The 26,758-nt window shown below is 37.8% G+C and overlaps 1 long non-coding RNA gene across 1 annotated transcript, besides 4 other annotated features; it reads left to right on the top strand.

The window, feature by feature from the left end:
• Nucleotides 1,696-2,195: an enhancer, noted in NCBI's record as "H3K27ac hESC enhancer chr5:82323897-82324396 (GRCh37/hg19 assembly coordinates)". NCBI's record gives its function as "activates a minimal SCP1, AML or CMV promoter by ChIP-STARR-seq in naive H9 embryonic stem cells {active_cell/tissue: H9 hESC(naive)}" and the evidence as "EXISTENCE:reporter gene assay evidence [ECO:0000049][PMID:30033119]".
• Nucleotides 2,196-2,697: an enhancer, noted in NCBI's record as "H3K27ac hESC enhancer chr5:82323395-82323896 (GRCh37/hg19 assembly coordinates)". NCBI's record gives its function as "activates a minimal SCP1, AML or CMV promoter by ChIP-STARR-seq in naive H9 embryonic stem cells {active_cell/tissue: H9 hESC(naive)}" and the evidence as "EXISTENCE:reporter gene assay evidence [ECO:0000049][PMID:30033119]".
• Nucleotides 2,804-3,651: an enhancer, noted in NCBI's record as "OCT4-NANOG-H3K27ac hESC enhancer chr5:82322441-82323288 (GRCh37/hg19 assembly coordinates)". NCBI's record gives its function as "activates a minimal SCP1, AML or CMV promoter by ChIP-STARR-seq in naive H9 embryonic stem cells {active_cell/tissue: H9 hESC(naive)}" and the evidence as "EXISTENCE:reporter gene assay evidence [ECO:0000049][PMID:30033119]".
• LOC105379052 (uncharacterized) lies at nt 7,083-18,872 on the top strand. Its single transcript, XR_001742775.2, has 3 exons — nt 7,083-7,255; nt 8,538-9,648; nt 13,923-18,872. It is a non-coding gene; the product is annotated as an uncharacterized LOC105379052 (long non-coding RNA).
• Nucleotides 17,866-18,015: an enhancer, noted in NCBI's record as "active region_22739". NCBI's record gives its function as "activates an Ori minimal core promoter by ATAC-STARR-seq in GM12878 lymphoblastoid cells {active_cell/tissue: GM12878}" and the evidence as "EXISTENCE:reporter gene assay evidence [ECO:0000049][PMID:35858748]".
• Nucleotides 18,873-26,758: the final 7,886 nt, after the last annotated feature.

Raw genomic sequence — 26,758 nt, 5'->3', positions numbered from 1 at the left:
TACTCTTCCCCCTCCTTTTCTCAAGCAGAAGGAGTCTCTCATCATAGCCAGCATAGCTGGGGATGTGCTGAGTCACACTTGAAGCCAGCATGTCTCTGAATCTCACCCAAGGCCCATAGCAAGTACTGTCTAGCTACCACTGCTAACTATGCAGGGCCAAAGGGCTTTTTAGTCAGTAGTTAATGAATTGTGGCAGGACTGAGTCCTTCTCTTTAAGGCAGCTGGTTCTCTTCTGGCCCAGGGTGTGTCTAGAAATAACATTAGGAGCTAGGGCCTGGAATGGGAGCCTCAAGTCTCCGGCTAGTGCTCTATCCTACTGTGGTTGAGCTGGTATCCAAGTTACAAGACAAAGTCCTCTTTATTCTTCCTTCTCCTCATTTTAAGCAGAAAGAAGTCTCTCCCAGAGCTGTGAGCTGTGCTACCTGGGGTTTTGGGAGTGGTGGTGCAAGCACACCCTCGGCTGTCCTAGCCAGTGTCTCGCTGGGTCACGTGTTCCCCAAGTCTACTTTCTCGAGTCCAGCACAGCACCAGGACTTGCCAAGGAATTGCAGTCCTCTTGGCCTAGACTGTCTTTCAAGTTTACTTAGGACCCCATAGCATCTTAGCCCATGGTGGTGGGGCTTGCTAGAAGAAAGGGTCCAACAACTGGGATGGGTGAGTCCACTCTGGCTAGGGCTGGTGTATATGCTCCCTCCATAGGCATTGACTAAGTTCTATACAGTGTTGCTTTTCTGACAGGGCAGCAATGAGTTCCAATGCTAAGTCCCACAATCACTGCACTCTCCCCACCAAGAGCACAGATCTTCTCTCAGCACCACATGGCAGCTGCTGGGAGTTGAGGGTAGGGTGGTGTCAGCAATTCAAGGCTGTCTTTTCTATCTTCTTAAGTGCCTCTTTCAGTGATCTGAGGTTAAAACCAGGTACCGTGGTCACTCACCTGATTTTTGGATATTATGAAGGTGCTTTTTTGTGTGGGCAATTATTCAATTTAGCGTTCTATGGGGAGGACAATCAGTAGAGGTTTCCATTTGGCCATCTCGCTCCTCCTCCTCTGTTCCAATTCTGAGTCCAGCAAACAAAAATAGCGCCCTTTGGAAAGAAGCTACTATAGGACAAGCTTAGCAGGGAGCTATGCTTCACCTCCATGAGAGCAGACTACCTACCTAACTATTTACTTTGGAAAAGAGCTCCAGATGAAGGCCTGATGAGATTCCCATGCTTACTCTGAAATCATCATTTTGGAATCAGTCATTAAAGCTTCGTTGGGTGTGCTCCACTGCCAAGCTATGCTAAAGAAGTAGTCCTGGATTTGAGAGTCAAATGAGGGTAGGAACAGAGTAGGATGAGACCCCATGTCTACGGAGGTCCACAGGCAAGTGATAATGACTTCTTTATCCAAACTTCCACCCATGATCTGAAATCAATGGACGCTGCATGGCAATTCAAAGCCTGTAAATAGAACACCTTGATCCAAGAAACGCAGAGCACTTGGGTACAGATGGACATGGCCCTAGGGGGAAATTTCAGGTTTATAAAACTTAAGAGGCAGTCCTCACAGAGGATGAGAAATTGGTTCAATATATAACATAAATGATTAAATATGAGTAACTTCTAGATCATTTGGAATTGAAATTGGTACTAGATATCACTTGGAATATAAACTCAGAGTTCATGGTAAGGTGTGGAATATGGCAAATGACATTATACCATAATCATTAGACCCTTTCACTCAGTAACTTTATGCTTTTACAGAGGCAGAGTCTTTAAAAACTTTCTTAATCTTATTATGATCCTATCATAAATGTTAGCTTTAATAGCAATCTTAATCTTACAAGTGAAATTCTTTAACTAGAAAATATCCAAGATATTTATTGTACACACTACTGTTCAATGTAATTAATAAAATATTAATTTATAACATGCTCTTAGCCCAACCAAAAGATCATGCTAATTAGTTTTCTTCAAAAAATATTAATAAGTAGTAAAAATCCTACCTTGAGTATTCAGCCAATATTAAGAGTTATGCCTGGTGGGGTGTGGTGGCTCATGCCTGTAATCCTAGCACTTTGGGGGACCAAGTCAGGCAGATCACTTTAGGTCAGGAGTTCAACGCCAGCCTGGCCAACATGGTGAAACCCGCTGTCTACTAAAAATACAAAAAAGTTAGCTGAGTATGGTGGCGGTCACCTGTAACCCAAGCTACTTGGGAGTCTGAAGCAGTAGAATCGCTTAAACCCAGGAGGTGGAGGTTGCAGTGAGCCGAGTCACGCCACTGCACTCCAGCCTGGGTGACAGAGCAAGACTCCATCTCAAAAAAAAAAAAAAAAAAAAGCAAAAAAGGAGTTATGCCTTAAGGGTTTTAATATAGCATTGTGCCACTTGGAGTATGATACAACAAACCAAGTATATTAGGCATTCTTGAATGCTAGATGAATGATACCGTTTAGTGTATAGAAAAACTGATTCAGTGTACAGTTTAAAGATTGAAATTTTAGAATAAAAATTAAGATCCACACTTCATGAGAAAATTTGACCACCACATTGAAGTGATAGTTTGCATGTCTGGTTTTAGGTCCTTTGTAACAAACTCTACTTAAAAAAAAAAAAGAAAAGAAAAGAAAAGAAAAGAAAGAAAGGAATTAGGGAGTGCTTAGTGATATTCTTCTTGGCTGAGTTAAAGCAGTTTACTAGACTCAGCTTGATCTTTGCCTGTTACTGCTGTCTAGACGCCTTCCATTCATTGTATTACGGATTTGGTTCAAGATGTCCAACTTCCTCTTTTCTCACAATAGAGAATGTAACATAACAGACATCTATAATTAGTTACTTAAAAATACTTTCTGAGGAAGACAATATTAAGAACAGCCTGCCATCATATCCACCTATTTGCAGCCTAACTTCTCTTTTCCTTTTAAAGAAACCTCCCAAGAAGCTTGTCCTGAGCTCCTAGGACTACTCCTGAAGCACATTCATTGACTCCAGAGACTCAGGATAGGAGGGCAGCCACCCCCACAAACACTCTCACTTCCGAGCTTCTTCTGGGTTATGTCACTTTCCTTAGCTCCCCATGGAATGAGACATTTAAATTACAACAGCCCATTCAGAGAAACACAACAGCTGCCAATTTGACCTTCTCTCGGGATTTGTGTTTGAAAGAGGGTCCTAGTTGTCTGGTTCACTCCAGAAAATTACTACAGATGATGTAGTTGGGTCATGTGACACATGGTTAAAAAAATAAACAACTCTCCTGTTGACATATGACCTACAACTAAGACAGAGGCTTTAGTCCATATGGTGAAATATTGGGCTCTGAGGAAATGTCCATAGCTTTGGTTTTCTTAGCATGGAAAACCAATTTGTATTTTCATATTAGGCTTAATCTCAACTGGGTGAGGCTTGTGGTATCTCAATAAATCTGTACTATGTAAAAGTTGCTTTCTGCTTGGCAAGAGCAAACTACAAAAACTTGAAATGAGAGACTTTAAGAACCATTATGTATGCACTCCCTGGCTGCTGGGTTGCTGACCTGGGGCTTTTTACCTGGTGGTCTGATGAGTCATGCCATTCAAAAAAAGAGAAGACAGCAAAGATATTTGAATGGTTAGCTATACAGGCAATTAAAAACCTGCTGGGTGGGCTCTTTCCCCGCGAGGCCAAGATGCTGATTTGGAAGATAACAGTGGATTCTTTCTCTGGTGCCTACTAATATTCTAGAAATGGAGTACATAGAGAAACTGAAGCCAGGCTCAGAAAAGACAGCCCACAGACTTAGTGTTCAAGTAATTTACACTCTTGACAGGTCTCTAAGAGGTAACTTTTTCTTTTTAAAAAATTTCAGCTATAATATTGACTTGGAAGAACAATCTGGACACAAGCAAGCTTGATCATAGTGCTGTAACACAACTCAGTGTCTTGTCTCTTAGACCAGCTCCTGAGTTCTCTCTCTTTCTCTCTCTCTCTTTATGCTGATGCTGTCGGCACTCACCAACAGCCAGGCTGGAGACCTTGGAATCCTCACTGACTCACTTTCCTTACCAAGGCATAAGATGAGTCTATTTTTCGAATATTTCTTGTCTCTTTATCTCCTCCTTTTTGCCCCTCCCACCACAAAAGTTGAGAATTTCATCTTCTCACAATGGGGGTATAAAAAGTTCCTCAAATTCTCTACAGTCTTCTTCTCCCTTTCGTTATATGCCCCCAGAATGATCGTTCTAAAATGCAAGTCTAAGCACACTACAGCTTAAAAACCTTCAGTGACTCACCTTTACCTCAGGAACGAGGGCAGGTTTTTAATATGGCATAAAATTTGGATTTACAAGTCATCTGACCTATCCTAAATTCCTGCTCTGTGGGACCTATCTCATTCTACCAGAGGGTGTCAGATTCTTATCAGTTTCACACCAGGCCGGCCAGCCCTGTTCTTTGCCCGAATTGCTCTTTACTTTCTTTACTTGCTGATTCCTTTTCGTCTTCTGATGGCTGTCTCAATTGTTCTCTTCTCTGTTAGCCTTCCCTAACCTCCTCAGTGTTTTCTAACCCCCTCCTGGGAGCTCTCTAATGTATTGCTTCTATTAGAGCACATACCATGGTACACTATAGTTATCTGTTGACTAGGGAGTGATGTCCTCAGCCGTTGTCAGATATATGGTAAAAATCAGTGAATGTTTGTTGAATGACTATATACAAAGCAAGTTTCTTCCTAGAACATGTTTTTGACCTGGTAGAATTTTGTTTCTGGCCTTCTGATTTCTCTGAGGTACAAAGTGCTTCAAAAGGAAGAGTTGTAGGACCTTTGATTGACAACCTAAAAAGAACTGTGTAAGGATATGCCAGCACTTGAATCTGAGGACAATGGAAAATAGAAATCTGATTGGAATAAACTGGTCACATGTGGAGGACATGCTACCATATAAGTACAGGGAAAACAAATTAGGGTGATCCATAGAAAGCAAATCAGGGTTCTTGGAAAAAAATATTGAAAATGGAGGTAGTAGTTCTGGCTGACCTAAATGCATAATGTTTCATTAATTTTTTGCTGACAGATCCTTTCTCTCTAACGTAGCTCTCTGTGTCTTCTTCTTACTAACTATGTGATCTTGAGGAACTCAGGCTATGTCTCAGATTTCTCATATTTAAAAAAGGAGGGAAAATGCCTGCCCTGCCAACATCATAGGTTTGTTTTGATTTCCAAAATACAGGGAATATGTAATAACATAGTTTTGGCCTATTCATCACATTTCTTTCTTTGTTTTTTCTTCAGTTTTTTGTTGTTTATTACAGTTCCCTTTTTTTATTATTATACTTTAAGTTCTGGGGTACATGTGCAGAACGTGCAGGTTTGTTACATAGGTATACACGTCCCATTGTGGTTTGCTGCACCCATCAACCCGTCATCTATATTAGGTATTTTTCCTAATGCTATCCCTCCCCTAGCCCCCCACCCCCCAACAGGCCCTGGTGTGTGATGTTCCCCTCCCTGTGTCCATGTGTTCTCATTGTTCAACTCCCACTTATGAGTGTGAACACACAGTGTTTGGTTTTCTGTTCTTATGTTAGTTTGCTGAGAATGATGGTTTCCAGCTTCATCTATGTCCCTATTCATCACATTTCTAATAGTAAATGAATGTAGAGAAGAAATGCTGATTTTGTGACTATTTGTCATGTATTGACTAATGTAACACTTTAGAAGATATAATTATATTTAAATTCATCACTAAATTAGCCATTTTGTGTTTTCAAAGAAAGTTAAGAATGACCTAAAATGTTAACTGGGCATGGTGGCTCATGCCTGTAATCCTAGCACTTTGGGAGGCTGAGGCAGTCGGACTGCTGAGTCTAAGAGTTTGAGACCAGCCTGGGCAACATGGCAAAACCCTGTCTCTACAAAAAATATAAAAATTAACTAGGGGTTGTGGTGTGCACCTGTAGTCCTAGTTACTTCTGGGGGTGAGGTGGGAGGATCACGTGAACCTAGGAGGTCAGGGATACAGTGGCCTGATCACAGCTCACCGCAGCCTCAACAACCCTGACAGAGAGACCCTGTCTCATTAAAAAAAAAAAAAGACCTAAAATATTGAGTGAAGGCTTTTCTCATCAGAATTCTGAAGCTATTTTACTGTACTCGTCCAACTCAGAAATGCAATTATGTAGGTAATTATAGTTTGTATTTGGAGATTAGAATTCATCCTATGAGTAGTTTGCATATGCATATCATACACAAAGTGCTGGAATTATATTATGACATTTTAAAGTAAAATAAATGGTTGAACTAAATGAATTTGTTTATACTGTCACCTGTTAGCGCTTGATATTGTAAAAATGAAGAAGTTTGAGAATGTGATATTAATATGCTTTTAAAACAACTTTATAGAATTTGATAGCTATTATAATTATAATTATAAACAGTATCAAGCCAAGTTAATAGATAAATCTTTTGGAACTGCCTTTCTTTATAATAAGTAAATAAAAATAATCAGTAATTCACCTGCAATAATTTGCATGAAACTGGGTACAAACCACTTTTTGCTGTGCGTTCCTCATTTCATATTAGTGGTTGAGAAACGTTTCCTGGCTGAGTAGTTAACATGTGAATAATGCTTATCGAATTAACGTATTTGAAGTATTAGAAAGTCTTAAGCTCTTTTTCCTGTCATCGTATTTATAATTTTCATTTCCATTAACCAGGTAAATAAAGTTTGTTAAGTGAAGATAATCCTCCCTATTCTTTTTCTAATGAAATATCAATGAGAATTCCATTTAAAATCATTTGTGGAAAGAGATGTGAATAGTTAGCACTATAAATAACGTTTTTGTCTATTTTTAAATAGGATCTGATGCCATCAAAAGTCACAAGAACTGGCCGGGCAAGGTGGCTCACGCCTGTAATCCCAGCACTTTGGGAGGTCAAGGCTGGCGGATCACGAGGTCAGGAGATTGAGACCATCCTGGCTAACACAGTGAAACCACGTCTCTACTAAAAATACAAAAAATTAGCCAGGCATGGTGGCGGTCGCCTGTAATCCCAGCTACTCGGGAGGCTGAGGCAGGAGAATGGCGTGAACCCGGGAGGCGGAACTTGCCGTGAGCCGAGATCACGCCACTGCACTCCAGCCTGGGCGACAGAGTGAGACTCTGTCTCAAAAAAAAAAAGTCACGAGAACTGTCTGGAAATGTGAGCAATTTCAAGCGAGAGATTAGTTGTTTTACAAAGTTCATTAAAATATGCATCAACCATTCTTCATCTCTTTGAATAAAGGTAGGACACTATGTAATTTTATGTAGATTTCTTCCAGCTGATATTAAATTTTGAATGCAGAACTAAATGAATTTGTTTGTGTTGTCAGCTTTGGATACCTGATGTTATAAAACTGCAGTTCTAATTGGAAATGTGATTCTGATATACTCCCTTTAGGAGTTTGACTGTTTTACTTACTTTATGAAGCAAGAAATAATAATAAAATTTTAGCTCTCATAATCAAGAGCCATTTGAATACTCATAAATTAAAAATATTTAGATGTCAAGACAGTAAAGCCTATGACATGAAAAGGACCAGATAACTAGTTAAATGAATTTCCATGGGTCAAGTTGCACAAGTAACATAGTCTAGAAGTGTGGATTAATTTTCACTCCGATAACGCGTTATCTTGCTTAAATGTGATTAAAAATCCCCACTGGGTTCTATGTTAATCTTTCCTCCAAAGATTTGGATCTTATCAAGTTTGGGAGCTACTTTGGAAGTAGAGAGTGCTCTCCAAAAGAACTCTCAAGAGGCAGTATCAGTTTTTACAATCTACTCTGGGGTAATGAGAGAGTGGTTGAGTTTACATAGATTATCACTTATGGCTGCCTCCCTGGCTTGACATTGTACAGGGGGAGAGCTCAAAGCTCAGTGAGGCTCAGACGAGGTCAGACACAGAGAAATTTGGAGACCATTTTTAGTGATTTGACTTAAGATGCTTTAGGTTTTGTTTTGTTTGTATTATCTTCTTTTAATGCCTCAAAAATTTCCCTCTCTATAACGAGCCTTTGCTCTAAAAAATTCCCTATGTAATTTATTTAGCAAACATGCATTGAGTGTCTGTCATGTGCCAATTACTATGCTGGGGGCTGGGGATGTAGCAGTGAATGAGGACAATGAAATGCTTGCCCTTCTAGGACTGACAGTGGCGAAGAGGTTAGCATTAACTAGACAATACACAAGAGCAATAAGGGCCCTGAAAATATCTTTCTTCCTTAAATACTGTCTTTCACTCCATTCTTCTCTTATGGGACTTAAAGGATATGTTCAAGTTCTCCTGTTACTTTATATTTGAATACAATGAACATTCATTTATTGATTCATTTACTCTCTTCTTTCAATAAGTATAAATTGACTAAGTCATCTTTCTAACAATTGAATAATAGTAAGATTCATTAGTCCTGCCCTCAAGCATCCTATGGCCTAGGGTGGGAGATAATATATGTATATACATCATGATGATTTTGCCACTCCATACAGTTATGAAAATACAGATAAAAGGTTATTTCCAATTAACAGAGTCAGGAAAGCCTCCCTGGATGAAGAAGCTGTAAACTGGGCCTTATGATTAGAGCGGTTATATGCATATGGCAAAAGGAGAGAAGCTATTCCAGGTAAAAGCCACAAAAATAAAGGCAGAAAGTTGGGAATTCAGAATCAACAAAGGAGCAGCAACCATTCAGTCTGGCTGACTTCTCATCTCATTTTTGATAGAGTGGGTTAGGGATGAGGTAGAGGTATGGAAAGAAAAGAGGATAGTTATAAGTGACTAATAAATGTTTGTTGCCAAGGACCACCACAGAATCCTCATTATTTGGAAGCTCCTTTATGGAATATGCTTTGAAATTTAGGGTGTTCTACAACTACCCCACCACACAGGGCTAGTCCTGTAAGTTTCAATTATCTGAAGTTATTCTAGTTACACAGGAATGCACAATATTAAAATTAACAGATATTGAGGCCAAATAATCAACAATAGCTGGAAGCATGTACCTTGGAAAGATATGTCCTCATTTTGAAATTGAATCCCAGACAAAACTCCTGGAATTTCAGGTTTGGTTACAAATATTGAACTTGTATGAAGTTCACCGAAGTTCATTTCCATGGAGCCTGGAGTGAGTTAGGCATAAATCATAACCAGCCGAGGTGGAAGCCCATATGCATACATTCATAGGTACAGACAGACAAACCCCAGTCCTTCATAGCTTCAGATGGAAACCATATGAAATGTCATGGCCTTGCACAGCTTCAGCCAGAAGCCTGGGCAGCTCTGTGCCTTCCGCTGGGGCTCTCTCAGTGGTTTTATTTCCGATTGATCCTGAGTGTATAGCAGGGTGCCCAACCTGCCCATGGAAACTAAGAAGCTTGAGGAAATAGCTGGGTCGAAACTATGAAACTGTGCTCACTGTTCAAACCTATGTTCTGTAAAATTTACAACAGATTCAGTCACCTCACATTTCCATGTAAATTACTGCTCGAGAGGGAAGCTTGTCTTGCTGGGGCTTCCACTGTTGAATTTTTAAAATTGACAACACCTTCTGTTCCTAGCTGGAATTATGAGACAAAGAAAAAAGAGAACGAGAGGGAGAAAATGTTCTATCTTACTTCAACAGGCTCCGTTTTATTGCAGGTAATCTATTATGTTAGCATTTTGATTTACCTGTAAAATACATACATTTATCACAGTTTCTAATTGTTTTGTGAATGGTATTTAGCTTATAAAAGAATAAAAGCTGTGACTAGCAATGCTTTTGCTACACTTTCCTGGTTTAGTAAATCTTAAGAAAAGTTCAGCATTGCCTCCACTGGGACTTTTCTTCTTTATGGAAACCAAAGGTGCAAACTTTAGAAATAAATAGATGCTGAAGAGCGTCTAATATGAATGTGCTTGAATAATTTACATGATGCTTTGGTGTTTTGTTGAAGAACATTAGACAGAAAGACTTGTGTAATATGGCCTAATGTGTATTTATTACATGAACTTAAAATATACCTGAGCTTTATGTCTTCACTTCATAGTAGCATAAAAAGTTATTTATCCTAAAATGGTGCTAAAAATATTTGAAAGCACTTTCTGTATCACATGAATAAAATGTACACAGGAGGGCAATGTGTTTTAATATTGTAAAAATAAGTGGAAAGCGGGCATCAAAATGAATCTATTTTTAAAGGTCTGTGTTTCACACTGAGTGATAGGATGCCTTTTATTGCTCATTGGCAAGGTCAGTACTTGGTAAAGCAGTACAATATCCCTCTCCCACCAAGCTGCAGTAATCTAGTAAATTTCAGATATTTTGGCTCGAATAGGAAGAGGGAAAAAGTTCCTCATATGTGTTCAAATAGGCATTAAAGTTGTCCATCACCATGAGAACAAAGTTTATGGTTTTTTCTTTTTTTCCCCAAGTGACTTTTGCCTTCTTAGTTTAAACTATCAGGTTAAAATAAAAACATTTTAAAATGAGGGAAAAAGCCCACCTTTCCTTTCAAAGAAATGTGCAATCATTGATTTTTCTTGCAATGTTCTGCAAGAAAGTGGCACCACTGAGTGATATATGTACCCCAGGGCTAACAGCTGGAGGGCAAAAACCACCTTTTATCCATGATTGACAAATAATACATAATGAGAAGAGAGAGGCAATTCAAGTTTTACATTTCACTCTCTTCGGCTTTTTAGGGCAGCTGGGTACTGCTGTTCTCACCTGGTAACCTTTGAGGTGCTGCCAGCAAAGGGGATCCAAGTGACAATTCTTTCTCTCCTCCTACAATCCCCCAAAGCTCTAGTAAATATGTGCAGCTTGCTCTTTCAAAGAGCATCCAGCTGCTAACAATTCCATTGTTTCTCTTTGGAATGAAAATCCTGGGGGTCTGAAAATACATTGCATGGTTATAATGACTATAGTAAAGTAAGGCTGAAATCTAAAATCTCCCAAAGCAGAATCCCCCAATAAAGTGAGGAATCGGTTGGTAGCTGATGAGTAAAGAGTTGGAGAAAGAGCCTAGTAAAAAGAAAAATTAAATTAGAGTTCTGTTACAAGTGAGCTTTATGAAGTAGTGGGTATTCAAAATAAATTATACATTTCACAAAATTAAGACATGTTTAATGTAAATAATTTAGAAAACATATAAGAAAAAAAATTCATCAATGACCTGAAAAACTAGAGATAGCTGATATAATAGTTTTGGTTTCTTTTAGAAGTCTTTCCACATTTGTGTATCTCTATATCTATATTTTTGACCATGTCAATACCCATATCCATATCCTCATCTCTCTACAACTGTATCTATATACAATGCATATCCTTATACACTTACATCTGTCTATTAATCTAAGTAGCTGCCTGATGTGGTTTTTCCATCTAATCCCTCCACTCCAACCAAATCTTTTCTCCCCGTGTGTTCAATCATGGCAACAAATGATAATTCTGTCTTTCCAATTATCCAGGCCACAAATCTTGGATTCATTCTCTACTTCTCTCTCTCACACTCCACTTCCAATACTTCTAATACTTACTGACTCTATCTTAAGCATTTATGCAGAATCTATCAGTTATCATCTCCTTCCTACCAACCTGGTAGGAAGGCATCATTAGCCATCACCATCTCTTGCATGGATGATGGTGATGGCCTCTTAACTGTACTCTGTGCTTCTGTCTTGGTCTCCCTAACTTCTGACACAATGGCTAGACTGAGTCTCAAAAAATATAAGTTAGACCATTCATTCTTCTGTACAGAGGCCGGTAATGGCTTCCCATCTCATTCAGAGTAAAATCCAGGGTTTAAAAGATGGCTTAAGTTGTTAAGTCTCTCAGGGAGGATGTTGTTTACATTTTGGACAAGAGTTTTTACTTTTATTTATTTATTTTTTATTTTTACTTTTTTTTTTGAGTTGAGTCTCACTCTGTTGCCCAGGCTAGAGTGCAGTGGCGCGATGTGGGCTCACTGCAAGCTCCGCCTCCTGGGTTCACGCCATTCTCCTGCCTCAGCCTCCCGAGTAGCTGGGACTACAGGCGCCCGCCACCACGCCTGGCTAATTTTTTGTGTTTTTAGTAGAGACGGGGTTTCACCGTGTTAACCAGGATGGTCTCGATCTCCTGACCTTGTGATCCATCCACCTCGGCCTCCCAAAGTGCTGGGATTACAGGCGTGAGCCACTGCGCCCGGCCTGGACAAGAGTTTTTAATGTGAAAATGTCCTTCTGGTTGTAAGATTTTTGATATCCCTGCTTGCCCCAAGTGCCTGTAAAACCCCGTATTCATGTAACAATGAAAAAATGTTCCCAATGTACTTCCAACTGCACTGGAGATGGCAATACCATCCCTAGTGGAAAACCATTTTGGCTCCTCTAACCACATCCTCTCGTAACTCATCTCTACCTGCTTCCCTTTGGGTTACTCTGACACAGGCTTGCTGCTTGTTGGGTAGGGTAAGAATTTTGCTCTCAGGGTGCTTTGCCCTTGCTTTGCCTGGGATCTTCTTCCCTCAAGTCACCTTAGTTCTTCGAGGTCTTTACATGTCAACTTCTCATTGAGGAAGCCATCTTATACATGCTGCTCTGCTTAATTTTTGCTCTTTAGCACTTATCACTATAAAACATACTACATATTTTCTTATTCATCTTGGTCGTAATGACCTAGTGTTCTTCCTCACTAGAATGTAAGCTCAGTGAGGGCAGAAGCTTGGTCTATTTTGTTCACATCTGGATCCATGATATCTAAAGCAGTCCTGACACAAAGTAGGCACTCAGTAAATAAGAATCACTGGAAATTTCAAACAGAGAATTTTTAATATATTATATCGCAATAGAATTGACTACATTAATGGTTTTAAATCTTTTTATTTCAGGAAAATTTCTGAAAATCCAGTGAAAACTATATATCCACCTCCAAGGAAAGCACATATTAATATGTACATGCATACATGTGCACATGTATACACACACAGAGATTTTTCGTATAACCCATCTACATCCAATAAAATCCATCCAAGTACTTGTTAGTTTATTTTAATTTCAGCAAAGAATCCAATAATTTTTTCACAGTATTCTGGAAGACAAAGTAAGAAATCTGACAATGGAGTTGGGTGGATCGGTGACAAGTAGATGACTATTATCAAAAAAATATTGAAGGACCAGCTTTAATCTTGAAACCTAGAGACAGGGCACTAGCAGCCTGAAGCTAGGTTCCTTTTCTATTTTGCTTGTTTATTAGTGGCCTGGAGGAAAGAATGAATGACATATACATCAAATTTATGAGACAGAAATCAAGAAGAAAGAGTTCTAGAATCAAATCCAAAAAGAGACCTTGACAGGTTGAAATAATGGGCCAGTATGGCCGGGCATGGTGGCTCACGCCTGTAATCCCAGCACTATGGGAGGCCCAGGCGGGCGGATCACAAGGTCAGGAGATCGAGACCACGGTGAAACCCCATCTCTACTAAAAATACAAAAAATTAGCCGGGCACAGTGGCGGGCGCCTGTAGTCCCAGCTACTCGGGAGGCTGAGGCAGGAGAATGGCGTGAACCCGGGAGGTGGAGCTTGCAGTGAGCTGAGATCACGCCACTGCACTCCAGCCTGGGTGACAGAGCAAGACTCCGTCTCAAAAAAAAAAAAAAAAAAAAAAAAAAAGAAATAATGGGCCAGTATAAACACAGTGAGATTTAACAGGGATAGATATAAAGTTCGAATATCTAACTGGAAACACAAGTTGAAGAAGATGAGCTTTAATGGAACTTGGGGGTTTCAGTTGACTGCAATCACAATATGAGTCAACAGAGATTTGTAGCTGCCAAAACAACTAATTAAATGTTGAGGCTGCATAGATAAAGTTATAGCAACTAAGAGATATGGTACAGTTCTATTCTCTTTTGAACCAGACAATACCTATAATGCTATGTCTACTTTCCAGTGCCAAAATTTTTGATCCACTGCAACAAACCAGAGACGACTTAACCAGGATGACAAGGGTATTACAAACTAGAAACTAGAGGAGTTTCACCTGAAAATTGGGAGATTTTGAGGTAACTTGAACATAATCTTCAATAGAAAGCTAATTCACTCTCAATATACAAATTTTTGAATACTTAATAAAACATATATATCCTTCTGAATGGAAAAAATACAAGGTGACAGGGAAAAATACATTTCTTCTCTTCCAATGTCCTCCAGCCTCCCAGCTACCTTTCCCAGGGGCAATCACAATGACCTTTTTTTTTTTTCTAGAGGTTACCCACATGTTTATAAACTTGTATGTATAAACTATTTCAGTTTTGGAGCTCTTTCCATTTCAGTTTATGAGGAGAACTTCGACTCTGACATGGTGTAAGTCTGCATTCCATTTCAAGCTGACATGGCAATGCCAGACTGCAAAATGTATGGAATGTGAAGGAGCAGTCCTGGGAAGCCACCTGGGGCCTGTGGGATTTCCAGGTCATCAGAATATCTCTTGCTTTCTCCCTGGGGTAGTCTGACCCAGGATTTGAAAAGTATTAACCTTTTAGCTATTAAGAACACGTCTACACTTTTGAGTTTAATCTAAACATCTGAAAGATGTTGGGTGGTCCCTGGTGATTCATTTCAAGTGCTTTGAGTTTAAAAATGCAGTTGAAGATGAGAAAGAGAGGAGATGAGACAGTTTGCACAGTTATTTTATACTGAGAAATTGTTTTACAAAACTGCTCAATGCTTTTATTAACCTCTATAATCCAACCCCACTAGATTTTTCCAATATTTTCTCCCCTTACTACCTTATCCATACTTTAGATTCAGTCTGGGCAATTACTTTAAGGACCACAATACCTACCATGCACTTCAGTGACTATGCTTTCACTTATATTGGTCCTCCTTCCTAAAATGCCCTTCAATCTCCTTCTTGATTAAGGACTGCTAAGTCTGCAAGTGCTTACCAAATTTGTCTTACTCCTGAAGGCAAAATACCTTAGTAGCTAAGCAACTAGATTCTAGTATTTGACTATATGTGCTCAATTCCTAATCCTGCTTTTTTTTTTTTTGAGATGGAATCTTGCTCTGTTGCCCAGGCTGGAATGCACTGGGGAGATCTCAGCTCACTGCAACTTCTGCCTCCCAGGTTCAAGCGACTCTCCCTGCCTCACCCTCCCAAGTAGCTGGGGCACAGGTGCGCACCACCAAGTCCAGCTAATTTTTGTATTTTTAATAGAGACGGGGTTTTGCCATGTTGGTCAGGCTGGTCTTGAACTCCTGATCATAGGTGATCCACCTCCTCAGCCTCTCAAATGTGCAAGCCAGAGTGCCCGGCCTAATCCTGCGTTTTATTAACTTTTTAACTTTGAGCAAGTTTATTGCTCCAAGCCTTAATTTCCTTGTCTATAAAATATTGATGATAATGATTAGAATTTACAGCATTATTATGAGATCAATTGATATGGAATATATCTGGTCCATGATGAGTGTTTAATAGATGTTGATGTGATGGTGATGACTTCTGTAATTTGTCTAAACCACACAGTTTTCCTAATTTGGACTTTTCTACATCAATATGCCCTGATTCATAATTTAATAGTTAATGAAATACACTGTTTTATTCTTTACTAATTGTTTCCTAAGTTTTGGATTGACTCTAATAGATTTTAAACTCTTTGAGGGCAGGAGGTATGTATTATAATTATTTCTAGGCATATAGTATCTGTTCTATGAATACTGAAATAATCGATTAACATAAATAATTAATCACCTTTCAGCCTTAAATTAGTTTTAGAATAATGCCCAGTTGCTTCTTTGGGGCAGATATTTGCAAGCAGTTTGGAACAATTATGGGGGCAGTGAATCAAAAAGAAATTCTAAAATTAAAAAAAAATTTCTACTTTGATACGGTCACTAATTTCCAAAACATCATTTCCAGAAAGTCAATATTTTCCTTTGGTTTTATTAGAGCTCTGAAAATCCCTCATTTTGCATTTTGTAAAATTACAGTAAACATTACCAGTAGTGTGTAAATCTTCTTGTAAGTAAAATCTCATTTCCAGAGAAGTTTTGTTACTGGGTTTTGGACAGATCACTGGCCGAAATTTATCTGTGGATTATAGTAGTAACTGGTGTTATAGGAATCTTAATACTGGATCACACCTGCATGCCTAATCCCAGTGTGCTTTTCATAAGAAACCTCATTTTTCTTTTTTCATGTTAGTTTGTATGAAATCTTCTGGTTTATATTTTTAAAGGGTGATATTTCCCATTATATATGCATAAAACGTACTTGCAGAGACCTGTTTTCTTATGCTTGGACTTATCCCACCCATTATACTTAAAATTTAATCTCATCCATGACTTGTGATGTGGTCTGTTGCCAGCAGTATAAGAATTTCTTACCTCAAGCCAATTTATTTAGTATTTAAAACATTTGTACTTTCCTTCCAAGGGCATGTCAGAATGGGTATTTCTGTTTCAGAAACTTAATTAACTTAGTTAATACCCCTCAGAAAAATGAATGGGTAGATATGGAAAGAGGTAGAGAATGCTGATGGTTGCCTGTGAAGTAGTATGTGTTTTCCTCTTTTCATTTACAAGGAATACCAATTTTGTTTCTTTCATCACCCTTTTGTCATGTAGTCAAGTACCTCAGGGGAAACTGACCTTTGTGATTCCACTACCCCACTGAATCAAGTATTGGTACACAAGTGGGCACGCAACCCAATTTTAACCAAAAGTATTTGAAGAAGAGGGGAGTTACTGGACAAATCAGAAAGAAGTTTTTTCTCTGTTATGAAAGAGTACTGGAAAGTACTTTATTTTCTTTTCTTGGCTGTGGTCATTTTTGGTGTAGAACTTGTATATTCTGAAGCTATCCTGTTCCATCCCAAGGACCATATTATATGTGGAGTAGAGCAGAGCTGAGAGAACTGTAGGGGAGCCCAGCCAGAACCATTGGATTAATACCTCCCTGAAGCCCACCTTATCTCTGAATTAGCAGCTATGCAAGCCAACATTGTCCTTAATATTTAAGCCATTTTGAGTTTTCTATTACATGTGACTGAGAGCATGCTAAAAGATACAGAAATATTCTGAATTTATGCACACAAGTATGTTAATGAAGTCATTGCCATCTAAAATACGTATTAAGAGTTTGGGGCGTCTTTGAATGAATCACTTAGAATTAGGATCAAGTTTCTGACATTTACATTTGTTGTTACTGTATTTTAATCCTAAATAGGGGGGATGATAAAATCAAAAGGAGACAAGGAAAAAACAAAGTATTTATTGTTAACTATGACTATTTCATCAAATATGATCATAATTTAGTTTTTGGCATACATTCAAGGGAATGGATCTAACCATAAATAAAAAGGAATCCTCTAACCTCTATGAATCAATGTAAGACTATATAATTTTTAAAAATCTTATAAATTCATGTTGATTAAAGTTTGAAAGCTAAAATGCCCTAGAACATTGATTTCCATTCCTTTTGAATAATGTCAAATATTTTCACAAAGCAATGCCTTACTACCTCATCTAAAATTATAATGCTATTTTAGCTATTTGTTGAGCAAGAAAATTCATAATGGAATTCAGTACAGCTTTTTAGTAAATATTTAAATTTATTTCTTATTACAGCAAAAACCTAGAGATTAAAAAATGGAGTCACATGGCTAAGCAAGATGTATTATTTATTCAGTCCAAAGAAATGCTATGTTACATCTGGATTCAAGGGACTTTGCAGTAATTCCAAGAGGTAGAATGTAAGTCCCTGGGGGAAAGAGTCTCCATGTGTGTTCAGTGTTTTGTGTGTGATGAAACCTATATGTGTTTTCATTTTCTTTCCTCTAAGAAACTTTTATATACATATTAACAGTTGCAGAGCGTTAATGGGAGAAGAGAAATGAGCATAAAGTAAAATGCTAGTAGCAATGATTAATGCAACACTTATTGTGGCCAAGAATTTTACATTTGTTATCTCATTTAAGTTTCATGAAAATCTCCATTTACAGAGAAGAAAACTGAGACTGAAACTACCTTGCTCAAGCTCATCGAGCTAGTAAGTGGAGGAATTAGGGATGTGAAACAAGGTCTGGATGCCTCTGGGGCCCATGCCCTAAACTATGATGTCATATCACCTTAGAATACTAAATCAGGCTGGGAGTGCTCAGAAGAATTCAGAGCTTCTGAATTTCAGACTGGTCCACACTTGACTCATCTGGCTATTTAAAGTGAATGTAGCTTCAGAATTAGGGAACTTGATATCGTGAACCCCCTGCAAATCCGCAGCAGAGCAGAGATGCCTAGATTCTTAATCCAACTCTGTCATTTACTGACAATGTAAATGACAGGGTTTGGCTGTGTCCCCACCCAAATCTCATCTTGAATTCCCATATGTTGTGAAAGGAACCTGGTTGGAGGTAATTGAGTCATGGGGGCAGGTCTTTCCCATGCTATTCTTGTGATAGTGAGTAAGGCTCACGAGATCTGATGGTTACTGTAAGGGGGAGTTTTCCTGCACAAGCTCTCTTCTCTTGTCTGCCACCATATGAGATGTGCCTTTAACCTTCTTCCATGATTGTGAGGCCTCCCCAGCCACGAGGAACTGTAAGTCCAATAAACTCCTTTCTTTTGTAAATTGCCCAGTCTTGGGTATGTCTTTATGAGCAGTGTGAAAATGGACTAATACAGTAACCTTGTATATCTTATTAACCTTCTCCAAGCCCCTATTTCTATTTCATTAGCATTGGAAGAATAAAATCTTCACTGTTTATGTAATTGGTTTTGAGAAGTAAGCCAAACTGCATATACTATAAAGTACAAAACAATAGTATATATTGTGATTATTTTGTGATTTTCTCAAGTATTCTGCTTTTCCATGGAAATAATAAATTGTAATAATGATGGACATCTATTATTGTTGCTGTTATTATTGCTAATCCTACATAAAGTAACAGGATTGACTATATATTAATTACGGAGGGAATAAGAAAAAGGAAAAAATGTTCCAGGGTTCATGGTCATTTTGGGAAACTTGATAATTTAGTACTGGAATAAGACTTTAGGACTGATCTTGGCAGGATAGCCAAAGGGCTCTGCCACCATGAAACTTAGAAAACTCCATTTTGGCCGGGCATGGTGGCTCACGGCTATAATCCCAGCACTTTGGGAGGCCAAGGCAGGCAGGTCACCAGGTCAGGAGATTGAGACCATCCTGGCCAACATGGTGAAACCCTGTCTCTACTAAAAATACAAAAATTAGCTGGGCATGGTAGCACTTGTCTGTAATCCCAGCTACTCAGGAGGCTGAGGCAAGAGAATTGCTTGAACCAGGGAATCGGAGGTTACAGTGAGCTGAGATTGTGCCATTCCACTCCAGCTTGGCGACAGAGTGAGACTCCATATCAAAAAAATAAATAAATAAAAGAAAAAAGAAAGAAAGAATGCTCCATTTTAAGAAAGAGAAACATTCCACTTCAATTTTCTCATTTGTAAGATTTAAGAGTATATTTTAAATGATGTCTTTGCATCTCCCCTCAAAAAAAGGAAATAAATCTTATTAATGCTGAATATGCATTAGACAATTTTATTCTTTTTCTGTTCTTGAATGAATAAAGGACCTATTTTTATAACCATAGAATTGCTTGGAATGGAATGATTATGGAGAAGGTTACATGTAAAACAAATGAAAAAGTAGAAAATGAAATTATTTACAAAGTCAATTAGAAAAATTCATTAATAAAAATATTCCATCAAAGTCATGAGGTCCAGATCTATGGGATTCTTTACCACATTGATATTCCAAGTGCAATGTTAATATCTTTGTCTTTAAGTTCTGATGTTTCACATAGGTGTATTTTTCTAGGATTGAGTGCAGTTAAACTCTAGGTCCCAAAAACCAGCTATACAGGGACATAGCTTGTTGGATTTTCAGTAACTTGTAGAAAAATAGCATGAAATAATTTTTAAAAAAATGCCCAGATCTAAGGTACAGAAGTTCTAGGTTCTAGTACATGTTAGCACTATAAAAGTAAGTATAACATACCATGTTTATCAATTTCAATATTATCATCTGCTTAACAGGAATAACAATATATGCTTGGTTTTCTTTGAGTTTACTGTAAAGGTAAAACAGAAAGGGCTCCATAGTGCTTGGTAAATTTTAAACAACTTATAATTGTACTAATCCCCTTCCCCAAAGTGTCTGCATATATCTTCAATTTTTCGTTTTCATAATGTAAATCACTGAAGTTTTCAAAAAACAAAAACTCGACTTGTTCTTTTATGATGGCACTCTGAATGGGATGTGTACTGACAATGAGATTGCTGAATCAAATGGTTATTTGCTCTTAGTTTTTTTCTTTCAGGAACCCATCTACCATAAATTACTTGGAAAACCAGCTTTTAAAGCTTTTTAAATGCACCCTTAATATCGTTTGGTTGTTGCTACTTAGAGGAAACCCTTCAGAGAATCCTTTAAAGTGGATTATAATAATGCTAAACATATTTTAAAAATCATATTAATTCTAATATTCTTTATGTATATTTAGGGATGGCCTGCATACTTTAAAAAAGGACCCATAACTATTTTAAGAGTGAAAATATTTCTATTATTTCTTCAAAACAAAACACAAATTAAATTAGTAAACCTTTTCCCTTTCACCATACTGGCAGGCTAATCATGTGAACTGAAATACGGATGATAAAGCATATCTGGTTCTCATTTCTGAACTCAACACCAGATGTTGTTTTCAAGGTTTGTCTTTTTTTTTTTTTTTCAACTTTCATGAAGCCATTTCAGTCCAAGGGAGATGGGGGAACTCCTTGCAGACCAAAATTTTTAATTTTATATTTTGCTATTAAGCCATGCTTATGGTGAACATCTCCAGTGAATGATCCATAATAACAAAAGAGATCCTTTATATATGTGTGTGTGTGTATATATATATATATATATGCGTGTGTTTATATGTATATATGTGTGTGTGTGTGTATATGTATACATATATATATATATATATATCTCGTATATTGTCCAATCCTTTTAACCTAGAATATGGGATAAAAATCTGCTCCCAGTAGAAATGCCATGTTCCTTAAGAAGTCCCTCACACTCTGCAGTGGGAGACGGAGGAACTTGGGAAGAACTTGGCATCACAGGAGACTTGTGAGACTTTGTTTTTGCAGTCAGTATTTGCTCTGAAAGCTTGTGCTGGGGACAAAAGTGAGTCATATGTTATGGGGAAGCTCAGCCATTCATGAAACAAAAAAAACTTACCTTAAAAAATCATATCCAAGTTGTTGTTCAAAGGTCTTTTTTAGGCTTTTTGTAATTGGAAGAAAATATAATTTCTGACAACTTTTCTCTGTTTTTGAGATGGAGTCTCACTCTGTCATCCAGGCCGGAGTGCAGTGGCAAGATCTAGGTTCACTGCAGCCTCCAACTCCCAAGTTCAAGGGATTCTCCTGCCTCAGCCTCCCAAGTAGCTGGGACTACAGGCACCCGCCACCACATCCAACTAATTTTTTGTGTTTTTAGTAGAGACTGTTTCTGCCATGATGTCCAGGCTGGTCTCGAACTCCTGACCTCAAGTGATCCACCCGCCTTGGTCTCCCAGAGTGCTGGGATTACAGGCGTGAGCCACTGTGCCAGGCCTCAATTTCTGACAACTTTAAGGAAGCCGTTAGCCCAAACAGAATTACCAAATGTTAAAATACCTGAAATTATATTCCCAAAGCAATGGGACAAACCCATGATGTTACTCTTTGTTTAAAATAAGTTTTATAGATATGTACATTTAGCTATTTATTAATATGGCATTTAGCAAATCTATCTTATTTTAATTTAAAAAAGGGAGTTGAGAGTTGTGAATTGGGCTGTATATAAACTAAAAGAGGATCTACTAACTTATTAATTCAACAAACATGTATTGAGGATTTAATGCCTACCAGGCACTTGATAATGAAGACATAAGATGTATATGTAAAACTCAGAATCTATAAAGAGAATCAAGCATGAGGAAACAGCAATAGTATATCATAAAAACTCTAATAGAGTATTGGACAGCCCTGTGTTCATTCTGCATTCATGTGTATGCATATGTGTATATATGCACACAGTGTGCATTGCTCATCTAATATATGCTGAGCTTCGGAGATACATATGGTGGTGAAAAGTGAGCACCACACACACCTTTCCTCTCATACTTGCATTTCCAGTTATTCACTGGTCACCCTCACTCAGATTTCTTCCTGTACATCAAAAACAACTTTGGTAAAGTTGAGCTGATTATTTCTACCCTGAAGTCAGCTTTTTCTCCTGGCATCCTTACATATGTTAATGGCACTCTCATTCCTTCAGCTCCTGAGACCTCAAGCACCAAATGTCAACTCTTTCTTTTCCTTTGCCTCTTACAATGGTTCTGTTAATTTTACTTTCCAAATACCTTGCCATTTTCTCTTTTCTATTCTCAGTCTCCCGTTTTATTACAGTTCCTCAGTACCTTTCACCAGGCATAGTTCAAAGTCTCCTATCTGATTTCACTTGTATTTTTTTTCTTTCACTTAAATGGATAAATTGTTAGAATATTCTTCCTAAAAATACTAATCACATCGGCCCCTTGTTCAGCAGCCCTCGATGGCTCCCAAGTCCCTGTCTAATTAAGTAAAATCTCCCTAGCCTTTCATTTATGCCTACCATAATAGCCCCTGACCACACTAACCAATGAATATAAATTATATTTATGTCCAAATTATAATGGTGCTGAGCTACCCCCTGCAGAGAATATCCCTTAAACTTCTGGTTCTGATTATCTAACTTTGTGTGGATCTTTTTTTTAAAGGAAAGTTGTTTTCAACTTGTGTATTGGGTTTTTCTGAAGATTGTTGCATTCCAATAACGGTGGCACAGGCCTTTTTCTGCCTCTCTGATTATGTACTTTTTAAAATCTATTTTTCATTCTTGATTGTGAGAGCCAAAAGAATGGAACTGACAAGGCAGGGCTCTCCTAGGCAAGTAGAGAAAAGGAAGAAATGGTATAGAAAAGTCCTATTCCTCTTGAGTAGATGTGCAGATGGGGAAGACGGCAACAGTCATACATTAATAATTTTGGTCTCCATCACTCCCATTTGCCAGCTGTAGTCAACACTTGGCATCATCCAACTTATTCCTTTCTGGCTTTCACTTGTCAACGCCCAATGCATGAAAAACTCACTGAAGACGCCTGACCACTGTTCCATCATGAGAACATCAACACTAGTGCCAAAAACTGGCTCCTAATGCTGACTCCGTACATCACCCTCCAGATGACTGAGACCGTAGGCTCCTTCCCAAACACACCCTGTTTTCTTGTCTCCATGTCTTCTGTCTTTTGGAAATGACATCTTCCCATTTCTGCTGTCACAGTCCTGTCATTCAAGTTCCATATATCATTCTAGCTACTCTCTGATGCTTTTCCCAATTTCTGTAATAGCAGGATGATCACAGTCTTTGCCTAAGAAGCATCCCTGATTACCTTGAATAACATGCATAATTCAAACTAATTTCCCATGAATCAAAAAGGATGGCAAGTACTTAGTATTTATCAGCTAAAGTGGGACTGCTGCATAGTAACAGCACAAAGAGAATTTATAATTCACTTTATCTTCATGCTTTGAAAATATATAATTCCTGACAAATTTTAAACATTATTTGAAACCTATTCCAGCTGCATTAAAGGACACCTGGTGGAATACCTCTATTTGTTCATAACCAACTCAGTATGATCTAACTGGAGAATATTCAGAATTATAGGCATAAGTAGTTAAGTCTTTATGATATAAAAATATTCACTAAGAAAGGTTAGTATAAAAATTTTCATCTAGGGCACATAGCAGTGGTATTATTCTTCAGCAAATATTTTTCCATATATGAGATGATTGTGCTTAGAATCTCACTGGGTTGTGCTTGGAAAGATCTGGAAAAACCCTATGAAGCTCATACTCCTTTGTGGCTTTTTTCCCTGTGAAGTATTAGTAAAACAGCTCCTAAAATTTGAAATTTCCTTCCCTTTTTTCTACTTCTTGCACCTCCCTGCTAAAGCCCTGGGTCCAACCTGCTCTCCTTGTCACCATTTTAATAAGTCAGTGAATAAGTAAACGAATATGTTAATTAATCCACACAAACTACAGTAGATCAGGATCCTGTAACTTTATTGAAGATATTTGGGAAATGTTGTCTTTCTGTAGAGTTTCACCCATCTTACTCCGTGTCTCATTTTCCACTCTTTTCCATACCTTTCTGATATAACCAGGAAATTCTTCCACTTTGTTTTGTAGAACACTATGAAGAATATCTTATTTGCACCTTCAACCAGCCCCAAATGTTCATGAATTTTTTTCTAAAGAATTTCTGAAAATTCTTTAGAATGAAAAAAGAATCCTCTGAAAAGAATTCTGGTGAAAATACTTAAAAACGTTTTTTAATGGTAAGGTAGATTACCAAACAGGACTTAGGTCCCATTGATGGAATTAATATATTTTATGTGTGGTGATGTGAAGACATAATTTTTACTTCTGAAGCTTATAGCAGGAAGATCGTATCTCTTGGGCTTGATTGTGTGATAACTAATCCAGTACCATAAAATGAAGGCTTGGTTTTTACTTTGTAATAAAATGTAATGCTACTGAGGGAGATGAATAATTATTCAGATATCAGATATTTATAGCAGTTATTTTTGAGAATGTGGTCTTTACTCCATTACAATGACTAGGCCAGTCTGTTCGTTAAGATGCAGTTAAAACATGAAGGCAATATATGTTAAGAATTTTCAGAAGAGCGAGCTAATAGGTCAAGGTACATAGTTACCTTCCTAGATTAATATCAAACTTATATTTATCACTAGTTTCCTTAATAAAGCTGTAGTTAAATATTCATATGGGCCTGTTCTACCCTGAAAGGAAAGGCTGAAAGTGTTAGGTGATTGATGTGCCAGAAGATTTCAGTCTCCCATGTATACTACCAACCCCCTGGGGAAAAGAATGGCTCTAAAATGATATCCAATTGCTGTATAATGGGTGAGGTTTTCTAATTAAATTTCAGAATTTGAAAAAAAATCTTTGTGAGTCTTTTCCTATACAATTCTTCCTTTTTCTTGCTTTATTTAAAAACAATGTGTTTAAATAAAGCAAGAAAAAGGAAGAATTGTACAGGAAAAGACTAAAAAAGAGGCCATGTACGTGTTAAGAAATTTAAATGTTTTGTCTTTGTTTAATGTATATTTTCATTCAAGCATTTACAAAAAAGAACATTAAAGCTTACTACTGGTGCCACAGAAAGAAGACAATGTATTAAACATGAAGACATGAAATAAATAAAACAATGACTGTTTTTTTACTTTGAACAAAGAACTCAGTCTTTGCCATGGGGAAGGTAAGTAGCAGACAAAGCTAAGAAAACAGAAAGTCAGCCACATTCTATGAGGAAATCAGGAGAACATGGAGAGCAACCTTCTTTATGTACTGGCTTCAATTCCACTCCATCCATTTTATATTTTCACAGTCTTTGAGTCTGATTTTGTGGCAAGAGTAAGTGCACAAATACAAAAATAACCCATCTGATATAAAGAATAAGAAGCCTTTTGACTGCTTTTGTAGTGATTATTTTTGGAGTGGTTATTGACCCAAATCCTATCTGCCAACTGAGGCTACCCTAGTTGATGTCTTCAAACACCCAGCCCTTCTATGGCAGTATTGTACCTGAGGCTTTTTGAGTACCTGTGGGAATGGTCAGGTTGCTGGCATTTATCAAGAAATATTTTTTAGTTCGCACATTTGTTTTGAATTGCAAAAATCTCAGTGTGGGGTGTAGCTGTGAGCTCATGGGCCAACTATAGGTACACATTTGTGTTCACATAGGCATAGATGTTTACATGCAGATGGATTTGATTTTAATAGTGATCCATGTCATTTCTTACATTTAGAATAAATGGAATTCACCTAGAGCAGTTTATTATCTACACACTGTGCCACATTTGTAAGGCACATTGTAATAATCGTAATTATTGATCTGTGTGAGAACAGCAAAGCAAGTTTGTAAGACTATAGGGCACATAGGATTAAGCATCTCAGAAATGCACATATTTGTTAGGATTGCTTTTGGTTGTAACAGAAAACACAATAAGCAATGTCTAAAACCAGTAGGGAGTTTACTTTTCTTATGCAACAATCTGGAAAAAGGCTGGGAGCAAATGTCATCAAGGAAGCCTTATTTTCTTACTCTTCTATCCCCGCTGAGAGGTTTTCCTAATCATGGTCACAAGATTATGCTGCCAAAGTGGCGTTGCATCTGAATTCCTGGCAGGAATCATCAGGAAGGAGAAAAGGAAGATTTCTTCTTTTATGTGAAGGCAAGTCTTCACTAGAATTCTGCCTATAGCTTGTTGGAGAGAACTGACCACAAGATCACAAGCCCATTCTTAGCTTCAATGCAAGATGCTTTTCAGATCTGAAGACAAAGCAAGCAGGAGGAAAGGGAGTTGTAATAGGTACCAAAGAGGTTAATATACAGACTATGTCACATGCACAACATGGAAGGCTCTGATTTAGAGGAGTCTGTGGATATGCACCCATAGTTCTATTGATGCTTTAGGCTAAAATCTCAAGCTGTGCTTTGCTGTGTAACTTCTCTTTTTTCTCTGGAGAAATTTGGGTTTTGTAGCCACTTTAAAAAATTTTTTTAATTTTTTTAAGCCACAGGCCCTCGTACTTTCCTTTCTCAGCAAAATACATTCAGAGAAACTCAGAACAGGAATGTTA

The sequence above is a fragment of the Homo sapiens genome, chromosome 5 (assembly GCF_000001405.40).
Source record: "Homo sapiens chromosome 5, GRCh38.p14 Primary Assembly".
NCBI lineage: Eukaryota > Metazoa > Chordata > Mammalia > Primates > Hominidae > Homo > Homo sapiens.
Note: the sequence above shows the minus strand (reverse complement) of the source record. Positions and strands in the feature narration are given on the sequence as shown.